Source organism: Homo sapiens, chromosome 1 (assembly GCF_000001405.40).
Source record: "Homo sapiens chromosome 1, GRCh38.p14 Primary Assembly".
In the NCBI taxonomy this organism is placed as follows: Eukaryota; Metazoa; Chordata; class Mammalia; order Primates; family Hominidae; genus Homo; species Homo sapiens.
In genome coordinates this window covers 7,740,120-7,763,241 of record NC_000001.11, presented here as the reverse complement: position 1 = coordinate 7,763,241, position 23,122 = coordinate 7,740,120, and the positions used below count along the sequence as shown (strand labels likewise).

General features: G+C 40.4%; 1 protein-coding gene across 42 annotated transcripts in view; it reads right to left on the bottom strand.

Annotated features, from left to right (window-relative positions):
* The window catches only part of CAMTA1 (calmodulin binding transcription activator 1), a 984,253-nt gene that overhangs the window by 6,465 nt on the left and 954,666 nt on the right, over window positions 1-23,122 (bottom strand). For 14 of the 42 annotated variants that reach the window (XM_011541083.3, NM_001349609.2, XM_011541087.3 and 11 more), the window contains 6 exons: window positions 18,220-18,407; window positions 17,151-17,397; window positions 15,461-15,532; window positions 13,451-13,471; window positions 11,850-12,043; window positions 10,709-10,783 (listed from right to left, as the gene is read on the bottom strand). In XM_011541083.3, coding sequence (XP_011539385.1) covers window positions 10,709-10,783; window positions 11,850-12,043; window positions 13,451-13,471; window positions 15,461-15,532; window positions 17,151-17,397; window positions 18,220-18,407 — 797 coding nt within the window. Of the gene's footprint in view, window positions 1-256; window positions 2,640-7,573; window positions 7,605-10,708; window positions 10,784-11,849; window positions 12,044-13,450; window positions 13,472-15,460; window positions 15,533-17,150; window positions 17,398-18,219; window positions 18,408-23,122 lie in introns of those variants that run through there. The other 28 variants (XM_011541086.4, NM_001410737.1, XM_047415997.1 and 25 more) reach the window with 6 other exon arrangements.

The window sequence follows — 23,122 nt, the reverse complement described above, 5'->3', positions numbered from 1 at the left end:
GAGAGAAAAAGTATTAAATTCCAATAGCTATACAGGTTACTTAATATCTGTTACTTTATGTAGTCCTCACAACACTGCCATTAGCTCCAATTTGTAAATGCAGAATCTGAGATTTATAGGAATTAAGCAATCTGCCCCAATTCACACAGTTAATAAATGGCAGAACAGGGAATTGAGTCCAGGTTTGTCTGACTTCCAAACCTATAGTTTCAACATTTCACTGTCTCTAAAAATATCTCCCAGGATAACACAGAAGTATTTTAAAAATCATATTTTATTGTTTTTTCTAAAAGACTTTATAAGAAACATGCATTTGGAAAATTTCCATGGTATGAGATGAAATTAACAACAATTACATTTTCTCAATTCTAAGGTGTCATCTTTTATAAGACACTATATTGATTTTATTAATAAAAAACATTCTTGGTGGGGGAAGACCCTCACATAAAATGTACTTATTGATTTTACAACACAATTATTTAGAATCCTAAAATGTGTGAAAAGAATGTGTGTAAGAATCAAGGGAGATTTTTAGCTTTATTCTCCAATTTGCAATTTATGGACCATATAGATGTTAACTTACCTCTGAAAGTTAACATGAAATTGAGAGGCTTACTATCTGCCCTAGTGAAATCATAAATGAAGTTTTATGTTACTTGAGAGTAGATTATTAGGATGAGACAGTGGGGCTTAATTTTTGTTTTGTTTTAAATCAAATGTCAACTGGATAAAATAATGTTTGAATGTTATATTGCCTCCAAAGAAACAGAAAACAATTATATCACCAAAGTGATTTAGAATAACATATACTAGAATTTTAAAACAAATTTTAAGAAATAGATGTTTCAAATCAGAGTGTTTCAAATGGCTAAATTTATGATCACCTTGTTATTAGTTAAGGACATGAATGATTATTCAGGCAGATGTTAAAAATAAATCTTTACCAATGAGAAGGATACAAAATAGAAGTTTAACCATTATTATCTCTGGGTGATTCTCCTTGGTTATTTGTATTTCCAGAATTCACTACAATTAGTATGTGCTGCTTTTGTAATAATAATTATTCCTGCTTGTTAGCTTTTATTTTCTCCACTTATTTAGAGAGAGGGTTGACCAGACTGGAGTGCAGTGGAACAGTCATAGCTCACTGTGGCCTGGAATTTCTGGGCTCAAGCAATCCTTAGCCTTAGCCTCCTGAGTAGCTAGACTACAGGTACACATCACCATACCTGGCTAATTTTAAAATTTTTTTGTCTAGACAGGGGATCTAAATATATTGCCCAAGCTGGTCTTGAACTCCTGGCCTCAAGCAATTCTCCTGCCTCAGCCCCCAAAAGTGCTGGGATTACAGGCATGAGCTGCTTGTTAGTCTTAAAAAAAAAAAGTGAATTAGATCGTTTTCTATCTGTCTGTTACTAATCTGTCTTACAAATGCTGTGTTCATATTATATAAAAACAACTGAAAAATTCATTGGAAGGAAAAAAATTCAATTTTGTAGACTGAAACCAAAATCAATGGACTGAACTGGTTTCATTAACATTACCTATGTTGTAAGCAAATTTTTCAGTATACAAACTTGGTAAATATAGACAAGAATTTTTGAAATTGGAATTAGACTTGAAAATCCAGGACCTGTGGTCACCATATCTATAGAACTTGGAACACAGGTGCATGATAAACTTTTGTTATGTTACACACACTTAGCTAAGGGTTACTGAGTGCTCAGTTCTCTTAAGGAATTACAACTGTTCGACTCATTCAGGGCTAAGAAAGAACTGAATCTAAAAATGTCCAGGCTATCTAAAAAAAAAAAATTATAACTGCACTTACTTCTAAATTCACTTACACAGAAGACAGGCAAAGCAGTCTTCCCTGAGCTCATAGAGGCAATGCAGGACAGAAGCTACAGTTCCCACAGCGCCAGTGCTGCCCTCAGGAGAGCTGTGCGGCCACATTTCTGACTCCTATCAGTAACTTGCAAAGTAGAACTCTTATTGGCTCAGACTCACAGTAATTAGAATAGCAAGACTGACCTGTTACCATTCAGCTATTAACATTAAAGACAATCCCAGTATTTCCCCAAGCATTCTAGGCTGAGAATAATCACCACTCTGGGATACCATTGTAGTCTCAATTCCCCCTTCCCAAAAAGTTGCATCGTAATGTACTGAAGTGATGTCGTAAGCAACAGCACTGAAAGCCAGCAAAAGCCCACAGGGTTTACTTCCATCAGACGTCCAATGATCATTTATGAATCAATGAAGTAGGCCTGCTTCAGAAACTTGTAGCAAACAATGGCTCCATGGGTAAAGCGTAAGGCAAAGCTGCTTCATTACATCTACTCAGTGATGCTCAGCCAGAGAAATGTCTCATGAGTCAGTGGAGTTCAGCGGGAATATTCTCGCAATGCTGGACGTCAAAAATAGACAGGGCAGCGGATGCGGCTTTCTGATTATTACCTGTTGCTTTGAGAGCTGCAATAGCTTGTGGGGAATTTAGGAAAAGAGAGATCTTGCCATTTTCCAGAAATCTCATTTGGATTGCAAAACAAAAAAGACAGAGAGGCCCAATAAGAATGACACAGAGCATGTTGTCTGCAATTTAACACACACCACTGTGTTCCAAAAATATTCATTTCCTAAAAGAGGCAAGTGAGACAAAATTACTTTGAAGATTTAAAATACATCCATGATGACACATCCCACATTCACGTCTTACTTCTCATGAACACATCGGGCCACTTAGAAACTATGCCTCATGCCAAATTGAGCTACGGAAGTGTGAGAACACATTTGTTGACCCTAGAGCACTGTTTACTTCTCAGTACACTTCCCCGCATTGTTAGAGAACTGTCCCTTGGATAAAAGTGTACATAAAACAGCCAAAAGTGTAAGCGTAATTTTCAGAACTTGGTAATGACCCAGTGCAGCTATGACCCGGGGCTGTTCTCAGAAGCACACAGCAGAGCTGCTCTGTTGAGACCCCTACTTACCAGCTTCTGGCAAAGTGTTTGGAAACCCGGTTCTCAAATAAAAAGAAAATATGTTGTTTGAAAATATGTGACTAAAAAGTGTTATTTCTTCTTCCTCCAATTAAGGTTTTGTTCCAGTAAAATAACTGCACCTGCCTTTACTGAACACAGGTGACTAGGCCAGCAGTTTATAAGAAATAGGTTAATTAAATACTAGCATTCCCACTGCTTTTAATAACACCCATAGTGATTGTTACAGTTTATAAAGCCTTCTCACAGAAATAGTGTCTCGTATCGGGAAAGGAGGAATTTGTCTAGAAATTGCTTTTCAAAGAGCGGTGTCACTCATCTATGAGAACACTTTCTACTATCCACGAAAAATAAATGTCTTAGAGAAGTGGAAAGACATTTTCTGTCTAGAAAAACAGGCATTTTAGTTTTTATTTTTTTAGGTCAAGCAAGTCTCAATACCTTGAGGATAAATCTGTTATGTAACTGAACTACCTGCTAACATATGAGGTATCTTGGTTTTTCTCTATGCAACTGAATAATATCCTGTTAGATATACTCAAAATCCAAATGAAAGTATCTTTTCAGCATATGTACTTTAAAAGTTTCTTAAACCTTAAAAATCCTTCAGTCATTTGCTGAGAAATCACTTTTGTTAATTTAAATAATCTCTTTGTGTAGAACAAAAGTTCTCTCCTAAACACAGCTATTGTGTCCAAGACAAAAAACAGAAAAACAAAAAACAAAACAACCAAAAACCCTGATGACAGTATCGAGAGTTTGTTAATTTCACTTTAAGTTACTGGATAAATTAAGAGGTAGGCCTGAAGGAAAGGGGGATAAAAGTGAGCTGTACTCAGTGAAAAATATTTGGTGCTTTTTCTTAGCCTTCCCCAAGCAAAGACTAAACATTTCAAGACACAAGTGGTATTTTCTGATTGCTCTGCTGCTGGAATTTGTCTGTCGTGTCTTAATTCTGCCTTTTTAGATCTCCCCCTGCTCCACTGACGTAGGAGTTTGGGTCAGTATTAGTGTTTAACAAATACTGTCCCATAAAATTTAATTCTGTAAGTTTCCAGATATTATTTTTCTTTTCTTTTCTTTTCTTTTCTGGGACAGGGTCTCACTCTGTTGTGCAGGCTGGAGTACAGTGGCACTATCATGACACACTGTAGCCTCGACCTTCTGGGCTCAAGCAATCCTCCCACCTCAGCCTCCAGTAGCTGGGAAAATATTATTTTTCAATGTATAAACCATGTTTTAAATATGGAATACTTTACAAATTAACAAAATAAGTATATTATCTTTTTTTTTTTTTTTTTTTTTGAGACAGAGTCTCGCTCTTTTGCCCAGGCCGGACTGCAGTGGCGCTATCTCGGCTCACTGCAAGCTCCGCCTCCCGGATTCACACCATTCTCCTGCCTCAGCCTCCCGAGTAGCTGGGACTACAGGCGCCCGCCACCGCAACCGGCTAATTTTTTGTATTTTCAGTAGAGACGGGGTTTCACCATGTTAGCCAGGATGGTCTCGATCTCCTGACCTCGTGATCCGCCCGCCTCGGCCTCCCAAAGTGCTGGGATTACAGGCGTAAGCCACCGCGCCCGGCCCAAAAATAAGTATTTTATCTTAACATAATTTCCACGACTATAAATCTTCCTCAGAGAATGCTCTGCCTCCCAAGACTAATTTCAACTTGGGGATTGTTAGAGGGAGTGCCACTGTGACTTCTCCGATGGAAGAACGAGGGAGAGAAGATCTTATTGGCAATCATACAAAGCCATATATACGCTATTCCTTGGTTCACAGAGTTAGCTAAATATCACCAGGATAGAAGGAACCTTCTCAGCCCCTATCTCTCAAACTTGCATAGATGTCGTGAGGCATAAGGGGTGTCATGAGATTCCAACTTTCCATGCATGAGTAGGAGTTTTAGGAGTTCACAATAGAATGCAGCAGGCATTAAAGAAATTGAGGTTGGGATTCTGGTTTGCATTGAAAAGCACCTTCTGAAAATGTGCTCTTAAAAACGGTCATTAACATACCAGAAACTAACAAGTTTCAAAAACGCATAAGCAACCACCTCCCGTAAAAATGTTGTCCTTGCAGCAGGTGATATTAATTGCATATAACATGCATGATACTACAAGTTGTAGTTGAACTGAACACTAGGGCATGCATCTATTCTCTTGGAGGTTTTTTAAAATGGAAAGAAAGATTATCTATATATATGCAGAGGGTGAGAGGGAATAGAGGGAGAAATGGAGATTTTTGTCCTCTTTTTTTCTTACATTTCAAAAAAAACGTCTCCGAGCCAGCTCTATCACAAGGGACCTGAAATATTTTAATTGAGAACAATTCCTTAAGTCTAGAGAGGATTAATTAGTTAAGTTTACGTAAGAGTATAGCTGCTTTTTTCCCCCAAAAAACAAATTTTTCCTTTAGCAATTATTTATAGTTTTAAATAAATGAGCCTTTAAATCTTTAAAATTTTAAGGCTTTTTAGGCTTTTCTCTTTTTTTTCTTTTGAGACAGAGTCTTGCTCTGTCGCCCAGGCTGGAGTGCAGTGGCACAATCTTGGCTCACTGCAACCTCTGCCTCCCGGGTTCAACAGATTCTCCTGCACACGCCACCATGGCCAGCTAATTTTTGTATTTTTAGTAGAGACACGGTTTGACCACGTTGGCCAGGCTGGTCTCGAACTCCTGACCTCAAGTGATCCGGCTGCCTCGGCCTCCCAAAGTGTTGGGATTACAGGCATGAGCCACCATGGCCGGCCCTTTTAAAGCTTTTAAATCTAGGGTTAAGGTCATTATTAAGAAGAACTTATAAAAACTAAATTCTTCTATCATCAAGTTGGCATACTACAACCTGTGGGCCAAAATCTAGTCCAGTATCTATTTGTATAAATAAAGTTGTATTAGAACACAGCCATAGCCATTCATTTATGTGTTGTCTGTGGCTGCTTTCCTGCTACATTAAAAGAACTGAGTAGTTGGGACAGACCATACAGCCCACAAAGCTTAAGGTATTTACTATCTGGCCTTTCAGAAAAACATTTGCCAACTTCTGGGTTAAAATATAATAAATAAAGATTAGCACCAACATAAGTCTAGTTAGATGGGAAATAATATCTCCAGAAACATTAGCAGTTTTAAGATTTTTTGAACTATGACCTTTTCTCAGAAATCTTAAAGATGACTAAATAAAGTATTAGTGTAAGGTTAAGAAGAGGGGGCATTGAATATAGTTGAGTTGATAGAGAAAATTCCCATGTTATAATTTCAACTCATTTTTTCTCTTAAGATTATATATAAGAAACAGGTTGTCAAATTAATCTAAATTCATTTAAATTAATTAAATTTTGATGAATTCTATTCCTGGCGTTTTTTGTTTTGTTTTGTTTTGTTTTGTTTGAGACAGGGTCTCGCTCTGTTGCTCAGGCTGGAGTGCAGTGGCATGTTCACAGCTCACTGCAGCCTCAACCTCCCAGGCTTACATGATCCTCCCACCTCAGTCTCCGGAGTAGCTGGGACCACAGGCATGCCCTACCACGCCTGGTTAATTTTTTATCTTTTGTAGAGATGGAGTCTCCCTATGTTGCCCAGGCTGGCACTGAACTCCTGGGCTCAAGCACTCCTCCCACCTCAGCCTCCCAAAGCACTGGGATTATAGGCATGAGCCATCGTACCTGGCCTATTCCTGGCTTTGAAAAAATGGTTTTCGGACACTAAATCTTTTATTATAATTCAAACACATTATAGTTGCTTCTGGGAGACTGTTGCCTTTTGCCCTGCTTACAAACTAGCATCATATTCTAAAATCTCAGGAACTAAAATTACTCATTGTAATTTCTCTAAAATTCAAAGCCTATTGGAATCCCTGCTCTTGTTATGTAAAATATAAATATTCGAGACATTTCACACCACATTTTCATTATTCAGCATTCCCATCAAGTGCTGGAAGGCCAGTTCGCTATTTTATAATGAACGTCCTGGGTTTGTTCTGAAAGGGCAGCCTTGTACAGTGACTTACCTCACAGCACCAGGGAGGGAGAGATTTAGAAAATGCAGGCACAGGAGCAGGGTATAGGGAAACAGTCATTCTCAGTAAGAAATAGATTCATTAAAAAAAAAAAACCCTAGTACGACCTCCTAGTGAGCCTCCTTGCTTTAGAAATTTTGACAAAGCAATCGTTGAGAAAATTTCATGTGGCAAATTATCTTAATCACAAAAAGCCACTGGCTGAATGTTTTCGTATAACGCAGCGTTATTTGGCCGTGTACGTGGCCTGCCAGCCCTGTTTTCGTCCTGAGGCTTCCTCCACCGCATCCTCGGCATGCCCTGCAGTGGTTTGGAACGGCCCTCCCTTCTACTCACTCATGCATTTGTACATCTAATGTATGTGACTGTTCTCCTGTCATATAAAATAGCAGTGTTAGTAATTAGGGTTAGTTTTTACTTGATTTTAATTCATTCAAAATGGATGTGAAACTTACTGGCATACCTAGGCTGCAGCCTCATGCAAGCAAGCAAAAAGCAAAATACTGAAAATGGAAGAGAAGAGAAACTGGCTAGCAGGCAGCTAAACTCACCCTTTTGTACAGCCTATGGTCCACCAGGGGGCTTTAGACAGTAAAACAACACCAGAGAGCTATTAGCACATGAGGGTCACAACAGAAATCTTACAAATAGCTTTATTTCAACAAAAAAGAATATAACATGGTTTCTTTTTTGGAAAGAAAGAAAAGGAGAGTGATGGTGGGGTACGTGAAATGAGTAGGTAAAAAAATTCATCAATTTAAGTCTTAAAAAATTGGGGTCATATGACTTAGAAATGGGATACTTCTGACTGATTCCTGAAGCTACTATCTACCTACCTTTTTGAGAGGGTGTCATATGAGGTTTTCCTTTTTTTTTTTTTTTTTTTTTTTTTTGAGACGGAGTCTCTCCCTGTCGCCCAGGCTGGAGAGCAATGGTGCAATCTTGGCTCACTGCAGCCTCCGCTTCCCAGGTTCAAGAGATTCTCCTGCCCCAGCCTCCCAAGTAGCTGGGATTACAGGTGCGTACCACCACGCCCAGCTAATTTTTTGTATCTTTAGTAGAGACAGGGTTTCACCATGTCGGCCAGGCTGGTCTCAAACTCCTGACCTCAAGTGATCTGCCTGCCTCGGCCTCCCAAAGTACTGAGATTACAGGCGTGAGCCACCGCACCTGGCCAAGGTTTTCTATCTTAATAAGATTTTAATGCTTCTAAGGACAACAGACATGAATAGTTTCTTTTAAAATAACATTAAATAACTCAACCCAGAATGAAAATAGGATTACACACATCCTAAAGAAAATATCAGTTTAAAACAAACTTCCAGGATAGATTTTTAGGATTTCTTCAAGATTGAACATATTAATTGAATATATAGAAATGGGAAGTGAATACTGATCTTATTACAGAGGCTATTAAAATTTGCCTATTTTTCTAACATCTAAACTGTAAATGGTCAAGTAAAGAGCCAATAACATTTTTTATTTCATTCCAATTAATGCACAGGAATCCAGAGCCCGTATCTGATGTTCTCTTCATAATGAACCTTCTTGTTATCCATCTTATAAGGTTATTAACAGTTAAAATTTATACTTAAGGCAAAAATCTTCATGAAATTTTCCTCTACCAGTTTACAGAAAGAGAACTCTAAAAACAAAAGTGAAAGGACTCCTTTGTTCAGCTTACTTTGTGGGGGCAACCTTTCATGAATTTATGTTTTGTTTAAATATCTCATTCTCTTAACTCTCCCAAAGTAAACACGGGACACAGCTTTGGCAAAAACAAAAGGGAGATGAGTGTAGGACTTTATGCAATTTTGCTCCCACGTTACCCACACATTCATTCAAAGTTTGAGGATCAGACTAGAAGAAAGGAGGAAAAAGTCTAGCACGACTTAACTTGCAGACATTCTGGTTTGTCTGAAGTGGCCTAAAGAAGAGTGGTGTTAAGGTAATTTTCTTGAAAACAAAATCTATCTGGAAAGTATTAACCACAGTGTCATGAAAGAAGATGTGATTCTGCTCAAAGTGGCCAAAGTCTATTGGTTTCAGTGCTGGATAGGATCTTGCTCAGGTTTTTCATTTTGCAGGTCGAAGAGGAAAAGGGAGGAAGGAACTATGAACGTATTGGAGAATGTAAGGAAAAGGGCCCAGGTGAGTCCTTGATCTGTTCACCATATAAAGAAAATCAGCTACTCTCTTTGGTCCTAAGTCCCTGCTAAGTAAAAGGTATGATTGAATAATAAAGGAAAGAGGCTGCCTTTGGTAAGGCTTGCAGAATTAATTTCATGATCTTAGAGCCATACCCGTTTTGGGGATGCATTTCCTAACAGGACTTCCTGTTTCAGAGTACTGACACTGGTATGTTACTCATTAGCTATCATGGTGAAAAATCTCCCATCCTTGCATGGTGGAAAGTAAATGTTGCTGAGGCACAGGGCGAGTGAACATTAGCTTCTGCATGGCATCATAGCTGGGGAAAACCATCTATCTTAGTGAATGCCGTTTTTTAAGTTTTTATGATGTTAATGCAGTGGCTGTGCATGTTTCCTTCTATGGTCACAAAAATAAATTCTTCTGTTAATTTAAGTAAAAGTACAAATAACCCATTAAACCTATTAAGTCTTAAAGGCAAGATATTTTCAAAGCCGGCAATCATATGGTATAGGAGTAAGAAAAACTAAAGCAAAATGAAACATCCAAGGAATCCAATTAAATATGAATACTAGGACTTTTGGTATAATTAAATAGGAAGAGGAAGTAAGACATTAGAGAGTCTGCTTTAATGTTTGGTATTATAAACTGCACAGCTCCTGACACACAGAGCAACAACCCAACCACACAGAAGGTGGTCTACACCCAGCTCGGATGGCCGCAGTTACAGACGTCAGACTGGAATATTCACCTGGATAAAGAACACAAACCACTTTCACCAGCCCTCTGAAATCTAAGTAGAGACGCTAGTCTTCATAAAGAAATCTCAAATTTGAGGAACAAAGAGAAATTCCTCTGGCTTAGCTCCATGAGAAGATGCTGCATCCCACAGAATGCTGGGGTCACAGGACCCCATTTCCTACTAATTGAAGATGTGCCCAGAGTCTCAGATGTCTTTCTTTTCCTGAACAGCTGCATTCCAGTGATCTCTCCTGTTCCTCATCACGGACCGGCTTTAATTGATAGTTTAATAATAGAGCATGTTGGCGATTACATGACCAGCAGAGGGCACCAGCTATCTGGTGGAAATTCTACATCAGAAAACTTGTTTGGAATTCGTGGTTTTCTTTCCCTTCCTTGAGACTAGAAACTGTTTTCTGTTTGGACACGCGCTAGCATAGTAAAGGATTAGAGCAAAGAACATACTGCAATGTGGCATATCAATCACAGGTTAAAGAGAAACTTAGAATTAAAAGCTAGTCCGACTAAGTTGACCTCACACCCAAATTAAAACAGAAAAACACGGGCATGAATCTCCATTGTTCAAACAGCATCGTCTGACATGGTTACCAGCACTCCAAGGGTAGCAACCTGATCCCTAGTTAAAGAGCTCTACCGCCCTATTGTAATTTGGGACGTCTGCCCTGATTATCTGCAGGGGGATTAGCTTTACATAGGAGTTAGTGAGGGTTAAGAAGGTCAGGGTTGCTTCATCATTCTCCCTGAGCAGAATGTATAAACAAGGACTAGTGTACCTGTGGCGACAGCGGCGAAGAAACCTCATTATTTTTCGAGCAGCTTGATCCTGCTTTTTGGTTAGCAAACTGCTCCTGAAAAAGTCAGAATATTATTGTCACAAGAAGGTTACAGTAAAGCCCAATATGGAAAACTGGTCAGCAGTGACAGAGGACTCTGAATTAAGCAGTTCGTGTAGCAAAGCCAACAGCATATGTTAAAGATGTATACAATCTGAAGGGGGATGAGTGCGTATGCTGTTCCCATAGTATCGAGTCCGGGCATCACTAGAGGAGAAAGGAGGGTGTGTATAGGCGCTCTCAGCTTCAAGACAGACTATACAAAGACTGAAAATAAAATGTCACTTAAATATTCTTCCACAATTCATTATAAGCTCATTTTGCCACAAAAGGCATTCTGGCATTAGAGAGGCTTTCTTAGTTTACAAGGTGATTCACCGGAGTTGATACACTCTTTGGGCTATTTTGTAAATGTACTGATCAATATATTTTACTTGGCTCAACATTTTTATTACAGTCTCTAAAATGGAACAGCTTAACCCTAATTACTCTCCCAAGGTCTCACATGCAGTAATTCTACAATTTCACTCATTTCCCATTTGTGTCAAGAATAGCCTTGTCTCTAATCGGAATGTAGCATCATATACGTTTCAGTTACATTAGGATTAGGAACAAGTTCTGTTTAGAAATAACTCCAAGAATAGTTTTCATATTTTATTTTCACATTGAAAATCAGATTTCCTTCAGCCTCAAAGAGCATGTTTATGTAAAATTACATGAGTGCTGGCAGCGGGCTGTACTTTTTTTTTTTTTTCCTAAACAGGAAATGGGTTAAACTACTATAATTGAGTGGTAACTTTCTGAGTAGAAACTGGTGCTGCCAAATTCTGATATAAGGTAAAATTGGGTGGCAATATCAAAATAATTGGGTGGGAGGTGGAGAGAAAGAGCTAAATATTCAAAACCAGACTCAGCACAGGTGTACTTATCAGCCACCATGCCTAAAACGTTCTGGAACACAGTGACTGCCAATGCTTTAGGCCCACCCCAGACTCCAATGTCAGCCCAGGACAAGTCTTTCAAAGAAGTCAGAGTTCTCTTCCCTAGGGAGCTTTACCTCCATGAGCTCTTCTCCACCCACCTGAGTTTCTGTTGTACAATCACAGCCGTCCGGCGAGCCTGCCGTCTTTTGCCACATTTCTTATAACTTCGGTAGTACTTTTGGATGAGCACAGCAGCCCGTCGGCTCTGCTGGAATTTTTTTTGTTCATAGTAACTTCGGAATTTGCTCTGGATAAGGATGGCAGCCTGTGTCATCTTTTTATAAAGTGCGTACTGCAGGGGAAACAAGAACAAGCGACACAGTAACAACAGGGGCTGCACGGGCTCAGCGTCCTTCGAGCTTACCGGGAAGGGAAGAAGAGAAAATGCTTTTCCCCTCTATTATCACATTCTCTGTCCGGGGTTTAATCACAAAAGAGGCAAATGAGGAATCTTTACACCTACCTTTCCAAAATGTAAAATATTACTTTAAGGGTTGCCTTCAGACATATATTTTTTCCCTAAAATATCAAAATATCTTGCCCTTCTTGGAGAAAAATTTTAATAGCAATACCCTTAGACGTTTATGAATCTAAAAACAGATTTCGACAGTAAAATTTTAAATGCTTCGGATTAATATTTTCTATCCAGTTTTGAAACACTAACATAATTTTTTTATGCCTTCCAATTCCCACCATACACAAATCTACTTAGCATTCAGCCTCTGATTTTTAACTATCATTCCACACGACAAGTTTCTGACTGAGTTGCAAGGTCCCAAATACAAGGCTTATCATGAAACGCTGACACCTTTAAGCCATTTTAACCTGTAAAAGATGAACACTCGTAAGACCAACACGGTGGTGAAGCCGTGAAACCTGGACGGCTGTCACAGAGCTGCGGACGACCCAGGAGGCAGTGCCAGGAGTCCTCCACGCAGCCCGCTGCAGAGCTACAGAAGTGAGGGACGAAGGCCCAGGGTGAATTCTCAACATCAGTCTCTAGGCACTAAAAATACAGAGCTCTCCATGGTCTTAAAATGCTACGTCCAAATTTCTAATCAAACAGAGTATGACTCTGGGGATGAGAAGTTGCAATGAAGCCCTTTGCTTATAAGACGGCAACTTACCGTCGCAAGGAAAAATATTCCCCAGAAAATCCCTGTATCTGCCTAACTGTATCTCTGGATGTATGAGGAGGTGAAATGAGGGAGGGAAACTGACTTCTCAGAATTGTCCAAGAACCAGGACCCTTCTGCAAGAACCTTCTTTGGTCTTATCTGACCTGCTTTACCTTTTCACTGGTCTGAAAGTCTTTGAAGACAAGAATGCTGCAGACTACAGAGCCCCTGTGGTTTCCATCGTCTCCACCTGTGCACACTACACACTCAGACCCATCGGGCCACAGTGAAGCGCTTTGGGAAAAAGGGTATTTACTTAGTGGCCACAGGGCTCACAGGAACTGGCTTAGATGGATTAACACCAGCCAAAAAATGTCCAGTTATTAATGTCGAAACCCACTCCAGCTGAATAACCACGTGGTCCCCAGACGACAGAGGAACTGTGCTTAGGTGGCCTGGCAAGGGGGATATGTTTACTCCATGACTGTGCCATCTTAATGGCCCTCCCTGTAGCTGGTGATGGGTGTGAAGTTTGTGACTCTGGTGGAATGGTTTGTGAGAGGGCTTGGGTGTATCATTACCTTCAAGGCTATCCATGTCAGCTTGGGGGAAAAACAGAAAATACAAGATTAATGTTACATTGCTGAATATAATGAAATTAAAAACCAGAATCAATAAAACTCCCAACCAAGAAAAAAAAAAAAGGCAACCTGGCTATATTAATGCCTTCCATCTTCCAAAATATTTGTTTTATAGTTGTTACTCTTTCCAAAAATAATGCCTTCTGTCTTCCTAGCTGTAGATGACAGTTTCTGGGGAGGGTTTTTTTTTTTAAAAAACCAAACTCATATTTTGGAATCAATACCTGTTGTAATCACAGACTTGAAACCTTCATTCTGTGTATCACTTGTGCTCCCAGGAAGCCTGCTCACCAAACAGAAGCCAGTGCGGCTCCCTGCTATAGAGCTACAGGCACTGTGGTGTCAGCGTTTGCACAATAAACCTTCCTTTTCTGGGATCATGAACTCAACTGGCTCGAAGCCAAAGACGTCCCCCCACCCCCATTAATAGGGCTTAATCCTAGAGAAGCTTGAGGAAACGGCAACCCATATCAGAAATTGAGGCAAGTCCTGGATTATGACAAGGTGATAGAATCCCTAATTTCTATGTGACCATTACACATATTAGAATTTATTATTCCTTAAATAAAAATTTATAACTACCTAAAGCACAATCTGATAAAAGGTTCTCGAATCTACTGACAGGCCTGAATTTTATCGTGTGAACCAGTCAAAACTCCATTAGGCAATTTTTAATATTTTATAACCACCTTGATAATGAGAAAGGCCTAATATTCATGTAATTTCTCTGAGCTTCAGCTTCTTCATCTGTAAACTGGAAATAAATACTGCTTACTTCAAATAATTGTAAAAAGGAAATGAGATGGGGCACCTAAAAAATCTAGTGCATACTAGCTGCCCCAAAAATATGACTTCCCTTTCCCATCTGACTAGTTACATAACCCTACAAGGTGGTTTGCAAACAGAAATACTGCATGAAAGAGTACTTAGATAATCTTCTTGCACCTTTAACTAAGGTGCACAAAAGCAGTTTAAGATGTTCTGAGCTTCTTCTGATTTTCAAAGATTTTAACAATTCTTCATTTTAAAATGGATAAGAAGCTGAAAGGAAAATGGCCAAAGATTAAATACCTTATATAATTCAAACTCAAAGGTAATAAATAGCCAGCATTTACTTTCTCCAATCACGGTATCACACCCTGGATTCCCTACAGTTCTCTAATTACTAGGGAGTTTATCAAAGTATTGGACCACGGATCCTCACTGCAAAGATACTGGTGTTAGGATCAGACCAGTATCTCAGGTAGGTAATATTACTAAAAGATCAAAAATTTGGACAAAAACCCTTTTGCGGTACAAGTCTAATTGCAGATGGTTTTATTTTGTTTTCCTCTGGTTTTTTTTTGAGACGAGGTCCAAGCTGGACATCAACACCTGGGTTCAAGAAGATCCTCCGGCCTCAGCCTCTTGAGGAGCTGGGATTACAGGCACACGCCATCATGTGTGGCTTCCCCTGTTTTTGTTTGTTTGTTTGTTTGTTTGTTTGTTTGTTTTATCATGGCAGTTCAAATTAAGTCTCTGGCCGGGCGCTGCGGCTCATGCTTGTAATCCCAGCACTTTGGGAGGCCAAGGCGGGCAGATCACTTGAGGTCAGGAGTTCAAGACCAGCCTGGCAACATGGTGAAACCCCGACTCTACTAAAACTAGAAAAATCAGCTGGGCATGGTAGCACACGCCTGTAGTCCCAGCTACTCGGGAGGCTGAGGCAGGAGAATCGCTTGAACCTGGGAGGTGGAGGTTGCAGTGAGCCCAGATCATGCCACTGCACTCCAGCCTGGGCGACACAGCCAGACTCCGTTTCAAAAAAAAAATAAAAAAAAAAAAACAACCAAAAAACAAATTAAGTCTCTGTAATGAGGTACTAGATGTAGTGCTCTTTAGCCAAACCAGGATCTTCAGTGGCCTTGGGTGGGGCACAGTTTCCTTCTGTGGTGCAAAACTGAGGTTTACCTGTTTATATTTTCTGTAACAACGCTGAATAACAGCAGCAGCTACTTCTTGCTGTTCCCGCAAGGGTCGGCCCTTAAGGGTAAAGTAAGGAGAAAAAAAATCAGTAATGATTAACTACCAGAAATGTCAGCTTTTTATTACTACTCATTTAATGCACCTTCTCAGAGTTGAGATCCCAGGTTTACCAAAAAATATTGATAATTAATTATAAATGAGGAAAAATGAATTTATAGAATAAACCTTAGACTATCCTTGCTTCTAAATAAAACTATGATATTGGAATGTTAAGCAGACTAAAAATATATTCCCTTTTAAAGTATTTAACAAATTAGGCATTGTACTGTTTGTCTTGCCAGATCTCAACTATCTTTCCTAAGATAACCCCAACTACTTTACTTTTGGATCAATGATTAATGGCTTTTAACACTTTTTTGGGAGTGGTTAGAGACTACTTTGAGAATCTGTAGAAAGCCATGGGTCCCCTTCCCACCAAAAATGCACACAGAAAAAGCTTTACTGCTTAATTTTAGGAGTTCAGGGGCTGCCTGGAGTCAGCCCCCAGGCCTCCAGTTGAAAACCCCTGCTTTAGGTCACGACCTCCTAGCAGCAGAGGGGTCACCTTACTTTATATTAACTGAATAATACGCATTATCATTACCAACAGTATGTTGACATGGTGATAACCATTACATTATTGGCTAACATTATTTTACTAAAGCTTCTGAGAATTATTTAATGTGACATTAATAACTTTAATTAAAAATTCTATGAACTCATGAAATTTGTTTTAAGGAATAATAAAGAGACATTGTACTCAGGATGGCAAGGTAGAATAGGAAAATCAAGGCTGGGTGCGGTGGCTCATGCCTGTAATCCCAGCACTTTGGGAGGCCAAGGCAGGCGGATCACTTGAGGTTAAGAGTTCGAGACCAGCCTGGCCAACATTGTGAAAACCTGTCTCTACTAAAAATACAAGAATTAGGCGGGTGTGGTGGCACGCGCCAGTAATTCCAGCTACTTGGGAGGCTGAGGCAGGAGAATCACCTGAATTGGGAGGTGGAGGTTGCAGTGAGCAGAGATTGCACCACTGCACTTCTCCAGCCTTGGCAACAGAATGAGACTCCATTTCAAAAAAAGAAAAAGAAAAATCAGCATTGTTCTGTGCCGGAAAAGCCCCATTCCCGCCCTGGCCTAACCATGGATGGGCCCTTGTCCCAGCCAGTTATTCTCTATGCCTCAGATAACTGAGAAGACTACGCTTCTGAAACTCTTCTATGAAGGTGCTTTAGGAACTTTGTAAACATTTGATAAAAATTTCATGTTTAACTGTTTAAAAATTGGTTGTTAAAAGCAAATGGTTTGGGAGAATGAGAAAGCTCTGGAAATGGGTAGCAGTGACAGTTGCACAGCACTGTGAATATACTTAATGCCCCCACACTGCACACTTTAAAACAGACAAAATGGCAAACTTTATGTTATGAATATTTTACCATAAAATATTTTTACAAAGCAGATACACACACAGATATGTTATATAGTGAATCTTAATAAATTGGAGACTTCCAAAAAAATTCTACAAATTCAGAGGAAAAAAAGAAATAGTAAATGTTTTTGTTCGCATGATTCTGACTTTCATCTGTCCTCTCTGATCTTAAGAATGTCACAAAACGAAGGTTCTGTTCTAGTTTACCTTGTATTTCCGGAAAGCTGTCTGGACAAGCCTGGCAGCCTCATAGAGTTCTCTCTGTTCATGATCAGACAGAGTGAGCTGAGCAAACTCATTCTCTACCTTCTCACTGGTAGATGCACTCAGGAATTCTGACCAATCCGCGGCGGAGGGAAGGTTAGGTTTCTCGAAAGCGATTTCACTGACGGGAGAGCCAACAGGGCTCAAGCTGGTATTAGAAGAAGGGGTTAGAGGCTCGTTATATGCACTTCTGAAACAAGAGGAGAAAAAGGAGAGACAGATTAATGATTGATTTGCACCACCCATTAGATATTAATGAATGAGCCAAGATGGTATCTGCCAGAAGCCACTGTGGGCAATTAGGAACATGCCTTCATTCAGTTAGGCAAGTTGCTAAACATACCCAGTGTCCTTCGATTGAGTAAGTTTATACTCAACACCTATCATAACTTTAGTACTATGCTAAATACTAAAACCTAGTAGCAGTACACTCTACTGCCATTAGAAAACTTCAGCTGAATTAGGGGGAAACATTATGCTACATTATCTCTCTTTTTTTTCTTTTTTTTGAGACAGAATCTTGCTCTGTTGCGCAGACTGGGGTGCAGTGGTGCAATCTCAGCTGATTGTAACCTCCGCCTCTTGGGTTCAAGCAATTCTCCTGCCTCAGCCTCCCAAGTAGCTGGGATTACAGGCGCCTATCACCATGCCCGGCTAATTTTGTATTTTTAGTAGAGACGGGGTTTTACCATGTTGGCCAGGCTGGTCTCAAACTCCTGACCTCAGGTGATCCACCCGCCTTGGCCTCCCAAAAGTGCTGGGATTACAGGCATGAGCCACCGCGCCCAGCTTAACACGATCTCTTATGCTCTGATAGCAGTAAAAAAAATAATGGGAGAGGTAGGAATAGGAGCTGGGCCTTGAAAGTGGCAACAGAGCTTGTCCTCATGCTTCCTTCCTTCCTTGGTATGGTCTTCTATGACACGGCATTCATCAAATACAATCAGCCTCCCCTGCCTCCAATTACATCCGGGAATCTATGCTGGGTAGTGACCTCCGTAACTTTACTCACCGGATCTGGGCAGCACTGGGAAGGCAGTCAGCATCCGCTAGATAACTGGCCAGCCAGCTCATTGTACTGCTAATGGTGGCAGGGTCTGTTCTTTCCAATCCTGAGGACTCCATGGGCACAAAATTCTCCTGCTTGATTCGGTCAGGTGTGGCTTCAATAATGTGTTCTGCCAAGGTCATCATGTTCACCTGAAGTCAGAAGTTCACAGAACACTCAGGTTAGAAAGGAACCTTACAAGTTATCCAGGTCTACCTCCCTGCCTCGCCTTGGAGAGAAAAAAATAATCAGGCAGGAGGGCAGACTTCCACCTCAATCCAATGCAATGAAATACCATTTTAAGGTTATAACATAACACACCAAAATGTGCTGAGATCCTGAGACCTGATTATCTCCAAGTCATAGTCTGGCCCCAAACCTTTAGTCCAGTCTTGGAGAACTTCTGGCTTGTATGTACTCCCTACTCTCAGGGTCAACCAATTAATGACACTGGGCAGTTCTAGAGTAACCTGTAATATTAATGAGGTGTCACTATTAGTTACATAACCAATATCTAACCACCCCCTTTTGTCTGGCCTAGAGAACCCCGGTCTAGGCTGGGAACAGTGGCTCATGCCTGTAATCCCAGCACTTTGGGAGGCCGAGGTGGGTGGATCACTTGAGGTCAGGAGTTCCAGACCATCCTGGCCAACATGATGAAACCCTGTCCCTACTAAAAATACAAAAATTAGCCAGGTATGGTGGTGCTTGCCTATAATCCCAGCTACGTGGGAGGCTGAGGCAGGAGAATCACTTAAACCTGGGAGGTGGAGGTTGCAGTGAACCAAGATCGCGCCACTGCACTCCAGCCTGGGCGACAGCGCGAGACTCCAACTCAAAAAAAAAAAAAAAAAAAAAGAGGCCAGGCGCAGTGGCTCACGCCTGTAATCCCAGCACTTTGGGAGGCCAAGGCTGGCGGATCACGAGGTCAGGAGATTAAGACCATCCTGGCTAACACGGTGAAACCCCGTCTCTATTAAAAAATACAAAAAATTAGCTGGGCGTGGTGGCGGGCGCCTGTAGTGCCAGCTACTCGGGAGGCTGAGGCAGGAGAATGGCATGAACCTGGGAGGTGGAGCTTGCAGTAAGCCAAGATCGCGCCACTGCACTCCAGCCTGGGCGACAGAGTAAGACTCCGTCTCAGAAAAAAAAAAGAAAAGAAAAGAAAAAAAGAATCCTCAAAGCTGGTCTGGATTAAGATATTCTTTATGAGAATCAGAGATGTGGACTGATTCTTAAAAATGTCCTTGCATACCTCTTAGGAGTGGTAACTGAAACACAGCACTTCGGGTTCTTAAGTGAACTGAAAATGTTCTCGATGGAACTATACAAAGTGACAAAATGCTTCTCCTGCCAACACGAAGGAGCCTCAACAACATCCTGCTAAGTGGAAACAGCCGCAGTGGGCTGCATGGTGCATGATTCCACTTACATGAAATGTCTAGAAAAAGCAAACCTCTGGGGATAGAATCAGATCAGTGGTTGCCTAAGGCTGGGCAGAGACGGACTGCAGATGGGCACAGGGCACCGTGCAGTGAGATGGAAGTGTTCTAGAAAGGGACTATGGTGATGGTTGCTCAGCTGTATATGTTTACTAGAAGCCATCCCCTGAGCATTTAAAATGGGTAAATTTTATCATACGTAAATTATACCTCAATAAAGCTGTTAAAAATGCTTATTGTGGATAATTTTATAAATTTTTTATCATACGTAAATTATACCTCAATAAAGCTGTTAAAAATGCTTATTGTGGATAATTTTATAAATTTTCATCAAAGAACAATTCGTTTTTGTAATAACAATAAAAATAAAAAATTTAAGAAAAATATATTGGGCCAGGCGTGGTGGCTCAGGCCTGTAATCTCAGCACTTTTGTGAGGCCGAGGCGGGTGGATCGCCTGAGCTCAGGAGTTCAAGCCCAGCCTGGGCAATATGGCGAAACCCTGTCTCTACCCAAAAAAACCCCCAAAATTAGCCAGATATGGTGGTGCAGGCCTAGTGCTTTCTTACAGTATCTGTAATCCCAGATACTAGAGAGGCCAAGGCAGGAGAATTGCTTGAACCCAGGAGATGGAAGTTGCAGTGAGCCAAGATGGCACCACCGCACTCCAGCCTGGGTGACATAGCAAGACTCTGTCTCAAAAAAAAATTGCAGCTTTCTTTCACCTTCTCTATTGGCCGTCTTGATTTGTGACTCAAACGGTAGGAAGTAAATCTTGCTTTATTCTTTTTCCATGAAAGTATTCAAATATATTAAAAGTAAGGTGGAATTTCTGAAGCCTAAAAGGTTATCACTCTACAATCACTTTCCTAAATCCTCCATTTTATAAACATGTAACAATGTAAAAACATCTTAAGTAACGTTCTCAGTAGTTGGACCTGAAAAGTCACGTCACTCATTTCTAAATTTCATGGATTGTGCTCAGAGAAGACGGCCTTTAAATGGGTAGCTTTGGATTTTTATTCAAATTTTCTTCGTGTCCTAGTATATGAGCAGTTTTCATAAACATGCCTTGGACACCTGAAAAGAACAATTATATACGTAGTTGCTATGTGTATTAACTACATACACACATATAGTTATATATAAGTATATCATATATTAAATCTATCATATAGTAAATATATATGAAATCAAGCCTTCTGATTTTGTTGTTCAACTTGTTCATATGCTTTTCATATCTACTTGATCTGAAAAATTCTGAGCTATGTGTGTTAGTAGCACACTGTGATTATGGGTCCACATTTCTTTGTATTTACTAGTATTTGCTGTAATGTTTCAAGGTTATGGTGCTAGGTACACAATAGTTTATAACTGTCATATCTTCTAGATAAACTGTATGTATATATATATGTATATATACACACACACATTAATTTGCCTTGAATTGTACTTTTTATCTTTCTTTTTATACTCGTTTATCTATTATAGCTGTTATCTATCATTTCATTTTCATTGTTTCTCTTTCATTTCATTTTGATTGTATTTCTTACAAGTAGCATATAGTATATCCTGCTTTTATTTAAAAAAAAAAAAAAAAACAACCCGAGGCCGGGCATGGTGGCTCACACCTGTAATCCCAGCACTTTGGGAGGTGGAGGCAGGCAGATCACAAGGTCAGGAGATCGAGACCATCCTGGCTAACACAGCAAAACCTCCACCTCCAGGGTTCAAGCAATTCTTGTGCCTCAGCCTCCCGAGTAGCTGGGATTACAGGGACCTGCCAACACACCTGGCTAATTTTTGTATTTTTAGTAGAGACGGAGTTTCACCATGTTGGCCAGGCTGGTCTCGAACTCCTGAACTCAGGTGATCCTCCCACCTTGGCCTCCCAAAATGCTAAGAATACAGGCATGAGCCACCGCACCTGTCCTTCTGTAGCCCGTTTTTATGCTACCTACCAACTTAACATTTTTTTTTTTTTGAGAGAGAGTCTCGCTCTGTCGCCCAGGCTGGAGTGCAGTGGTGCGATGTCGGCTAGCTGCAAGCTCTGCCTCCTGGGTTCACGCCATTCTTCTGACTCAGCCTCCCGAGTACTGGGACTACAGGTGCCCGCCACCATGCCTGGCTAATTTTTTATATTTTTAGTAGAGACGGGGTTTCACCGTGTTAGCCAGGATGGTCTTGATCTCCTGACCTCGTGATCCGCCCGCCTCGGCCTCCCAAAGTGCTGGGATTACAGGTGTGAGCCACCGCGCCCGGCCAACATTTCTAACTAGCATATTTCAGCCTATCCAGCGCACATCTATCTATATCACGAGTGGAACAAAATCTGTTACTGTCCCTGAACCCGAGAGCTTTCATACACTTTTACTCTCTTCATTTCCCTACACTCCCTGGTTTTGTTAAAATAATTTAGAATTTTAGTTCTAGGAGATAGTTTAAACATTATTCGTCTTCTATTTAAAGAGTCCCTTCCTAACAAATTCCTCTCACATATACCACACTATCGATAATTGCTCAGTTTTACTGTTTGATTGTTCACTCCTCTATGAACGGTTTTGCCACTTTTTCTAAAATTATTTCATTATTTTTAAGTGTTATCTTCTCATTTGGCTAAAAAACTTTCTTTAGACTGCTGCTTTTTTCATAGACACATGCTCTTAATTTGGCAAGATGTTATTCTCTAACAGATCTGTGAAAATAGGAAGTGGATTTTTTAAAGGTTATTTTCTATTTCCTGCATGAACTCTGTTTCAGTGAAGGCCACTTTCAAAAAGCTGCTCTATCCAATGGCTATTTAAACTTAAATAAAATTAGAAACCCAGTTCCTGAGTTGCACTGGCTATATTTCATACATATGCCCTTTACAATAGCTAGATGACAGCCATGCTGATCAAGTGCCCGATTCCACATGTGGCACCAAGTGTCTCCCACGGTGCGTGGTATGGATAGAAGGCACGTCCACCACTGTGGGAAGGTCTAGTGGATGGTACTGTTCTCGATGCTCAGTTGGTTCCCCTCTTTTGAGCTGCTGATTTTCGATGTAATCTAACTTATTCCTAGATATTTATGTTTATATAGTTCTAGATTGCTCAGTTTTGGTGTCTGGTGTGGGTTCCATCAGGAATTGTGTAAAACAGGATTTGGCAAATGATGGCAGGCTGAATTCAGCCAGCTGCCTGTTTATGTAAATAAAGTTTTACTAGGAAACAGCCACACTCCTCCGTTTAATGCTAAGGCTGCTTTGGTGCTGTTAGGGCCGATTAAGTAGCTAGGACAAAGTCTGTATGGCCTACAGAACCTAAAAATATTCACTACTTGGCTCTTTATAGAAGAAATGTACCAGACTCTTGTCTAAAACATTATTTGATTTTTCTGGGCAGTCCTCCCTATGACTGCAGTGGTTGGTAGGTGATATGGTTT